The following is a 3476-nucleotide window of genomic DNA, read 5'->3' as shown; positions in this document are numbered from 1 at the left end:
GGGAGGATCCCAGACCATGAAGGTGGCCACAGGAACTCAGCCACAGCCGGCTATCTTCCCTTTCTGTTTTCACAAGTGGCGGTGCTGCCCTCTCTCTCTTCCTCACAGCCGGGAGCCCCCCTTCCCCACGCCACCCAACGCGTGACCACACAGGGCCTGCGGGGGGAGGGGGAAGGGACGGGCACAGTGGGAGAGGAGGGCGGATGTCACCGGTCTGCACTTGGGGGGACAGAGGGCCCTGTGGGCCCTGCCACAGAACAGCTGGGCACCCCAAGGAGCCCAGAGGCAACCCTGGGGAATTTTGATCGGCAAGCGACGCTCAGACAGGCATAGCCCTGGGAGGAACCCAGGCCGCAAGTGCATTCAAGTGTCGATGATCAATGTGTCCTGCAGTTCACATTAATTCTCCCAGCTAGCTGCATTCTTCATTGATGCAGGAGCTGAGTGATCCACCACTAAAAGTCATACAAGGTTGATTTGGCGAGGGCACTCCCAACAACGGGAGGCCCTCCTGGCACAGCACGTCCCCCAGAGGGGTTACCTCAGGCCGGCCAGTCAGACAGCAACGGGACCAGACTCCAGAGAGGGGTTGGAAGGTTTCACAACACAGGGAGGTGGTGCCAACCACGGGGGGGACAAAGGCTGACACCACCCCATGGGAGCCCAGGGGTTCCCGCCCCCACAGTGCGGGGTACAGGCCACATGCAAGGCATGTGTGACAGCACGATGGCCGCTGGGTAAAGCCCCCACCGGCATCAGCGGCGACACGCAAGTGTGGCGTGGCCCCCGGCTGGCCGGGGGGATGGAGTCAGCAGGGGAGGCGAGGGAGGGGCGGGCCCCTCCTGAACGGACTCCACTGAGGGCCCACTGCACCTGACCCACAGGCAGACTGGCGACCCCCCAAGGGGTCCTTAAACCTCCGCACCAGAATGCGCTAGGTACCTGGATGGTGGGGGCGGATGAGGGGGGTGGGACCGGCGTCCAGCCCCCTACCCTCGAGACCCCCTAGTGGGAAGGCTGGGGAGAGCAAGCAGGCTGGGCCGGGCCAGTGGCATGGTTTGACAGAGGCGACGATGGTGGCAGCGGCAGCGATGGGAACCTGGCCAGCCCCAACGGGAGCGGGCGGGATGGGGCCAAGACAGTGCGACAGGGCATGATGACGGCCCCAGTGGGGAGGGCACCGAGACCCCCACCCCACCATGACGCCGAGAACCACCCCCGCGCCCACCGACGCACACATGGGGGCCACAGCAGGGGACCGCTCCCCACTGCTCACCAGGCCGGCGAGCCATCCAGCCCACCCCACGACAAGCACACAGTTTCATCCCCACACGCATGTCTCTCTCTACCCCCTCTCTCCCTTCTGAGTTCTCTGGCTCTCGGGGCAGATGGGGCCATGCAACGAACAAAGGGCACGACCCCACCCATGCATGCGCCACAGGGGAACACAGTCAGCCAAGGAGGAAGGACATGGCGGCATCTCCGTGGCTTTGCTCTTCTCTGTTAATGATCCCTCCGCAGGTTCACCTACCGAAACTTTGTTACGACTTTTACTTCCTCTAGATAGTCAAGTTCGACTGTCTTCTCAGCGTTCCGACAGGGCAGTGGGCTGACCCGGAGGGGCTGATCCGAGGGCCTCACTAAACCATCCAATCAGGAGTAGCAACCTGCAGTGTGTACAAAGGACAGGGACTTCATGCAAGCTTATGACCAGCACTTACTGGGAATTCCTCATTCATGGGGAAAAATTGCAATCAATGATCACCATTGCCAATGAGGTTCAACAGGTTACCCACATCTGCCACATAGGGTAGGCACACGCTGAGCCAGTCAGTGCAGCGCGCGTGCAGCCCTGGACATTTAAGGGCATCACAGACCTGTTATTGCTCAATCTCAGGTGGCTAAACGCCACTTGTCCCTCTAAGAAGTTGGGGGATGCCAACCACTCGGGGGTCGCATAACTAGTTGGCATGCCAGAGTCTCGTTCATTATTGGAATTAACCAGACAAATCACTCCAGCAACTAAGGCCATGCACCACCACCTGTGGAATTGAGAAAGAGCTATCAATCTGTCAATCCTGTCCGTGTCCAGGCCAGGTGAGTTTTCCCATGTTGAGTCAAATTAAGATGCAGGCTCCACTCCTGGTGGTGCCCTTCTGTCAATTCCTTTAAGTTTCAGCTTTGCAACCATACTCCCCTCGGAACCCAAAAACCCAAAGACTTTGGTTTCTTGGAAGCTGCCCAGCGGGTCATGGGAATAACGCTGCCACATCGCCAGTCGGCATCGTTTATGGTCGGAACTACAACGGTATCTGATCGTCTTCGAACCTCTGACTTTCGTTCTTGATTAATGAAAACATTCTTGGCAAATGCTTTCGCTCTGGTCCAAACTGTGCCAGTCCAAGAATTTCACCTCTAGCGGTGCAATATGAATGCCCCCGGCCGTCCCTCTTAATAATGGCCTCAGTTCCGAAAACCAACAAAATAGAACCGTGGTCCTATTCCATTATTCCAAGCTGCAGTATCCAGGCGGCTTGGGCCTGCTTTGAACACTCTAATTTTTTCAAAGTAAACGCTTCGGGCCGCAGGACACTCAGCTAAGAGCATCCAGGGGGCACCGAGAGGCAAGAAGCAGGGACAGGCTGTGGCTCGCTAGCCCACCCGTTCCCAAGATTCAACTACGAGCTTTTTAACTGCAACAACTTTAATATACGCTATTGGAGCTGGAATTACCATGGCTGCTGGCACCAGACTTTCCCTCCAATGGATCCTCATTAAAAGATTTAAAGTGGACTCATTCCAATTACAGGGCCTTGAAAGAGTCCTGTATTGTTATTTTTTGTCACTACCTCCCGTGTCAGGAGTGGGTAATTTGAGTGTCTGCTGCCTTCCTTGAATGTGGTAGCCGTTTCTAAGTCTCCTTCTCCAGAATTGAACCCTAATTCCCTGTCACCCGTGGTCACCATGGTAGGCACAGCGACTACCATAGAAAGTTGATAGGGCAGACGTTCGAATGGGTCATCGCTGCCACGGGGGGCATGCGATTGGCCTGAGGTTATCCAGAGGCACCAAAGCTGGCGGCACCCGACCCCCTGGCCGGGGCCGGAGAGGGGCTGACTGGGTTGGTTTTGATCTGATAAATGCATGCATCTTCCCCGTGAAGGGGGTCAGTGCCCTTCGGCATGTAATAGCTCTAGAATTACCACAGTTTTCCAAGTAGAAGAGGAGCCAGCGACCAAAAGAACCATAACTGATTTAATGAGCCATTCACAGTTTTACTGTACCGGCCCTGCATACTTAGACATGTATGGCTTAATCTTTGAGACAAGCATATGGTTCTGATAGAATCAACCAGGTAGGTAGAAAGCGGCCTCTGGGACTCGCGAGGATGAGCCCGGCGTCCCAGTTGCGAGATTGGGCGTGGCAGGGCGGGCGATGGGGCGTGGGGTAGGGAGGGAGGAGCTCCGGGTGGTGGG

The 3476-nt window shown here is 56.8% G+C and overlaps 3 pseudogenes, besides 1 other annotated feature; 1 reads left to right on the top strand and 2 right to left on the bottom strand.

The window, feature by feature from the left end:
• Positions 1–3476: part of a centromere (Linear centromere model derived predominantly from reads generated in PMID: 17803354. This region does not represent an actual centromere sequence, as long-range ordering of repeats and unmapped WGS contigs is not provided by the model. For details of model production, see http://arxiv.org/abs/1307.0035.) that runs on past both edges of the window.
• On the bottom strand, positions 314–464 carry RNA5-8SP (RNA, 5.8S ribosomal pseudogene; annotated as a pseudogene).
• Positions 1157–3476, top strand: part of LOC107987204 (uncharacterized) — a 5751-nt pseudogene continuing 3431 nt past the window's right edge.
• Positions 1505–3358, bottom strand: LOC110467536 (RNA, 18S ribosomal pseudogene; annotated as a pseudogene).

This window comes from Homo sapiens, chromosome 14 (genome assembly GCF_000001405.40).
Source record: "Homo sapiens chromosome 14, GRCh38.p14 Primary Assembly".
Taxonomy (NCBI): Eukaryota; Metazoa; Chordata; class Mammalia; order Primates; family Hominidae; genus Homo; species Homo sapiens.
The sequence above is the reverse complement of the archived record's forward strand: the minus strand, read 5'-3'. Positions and strand labels throughout refer to the sequence as shown.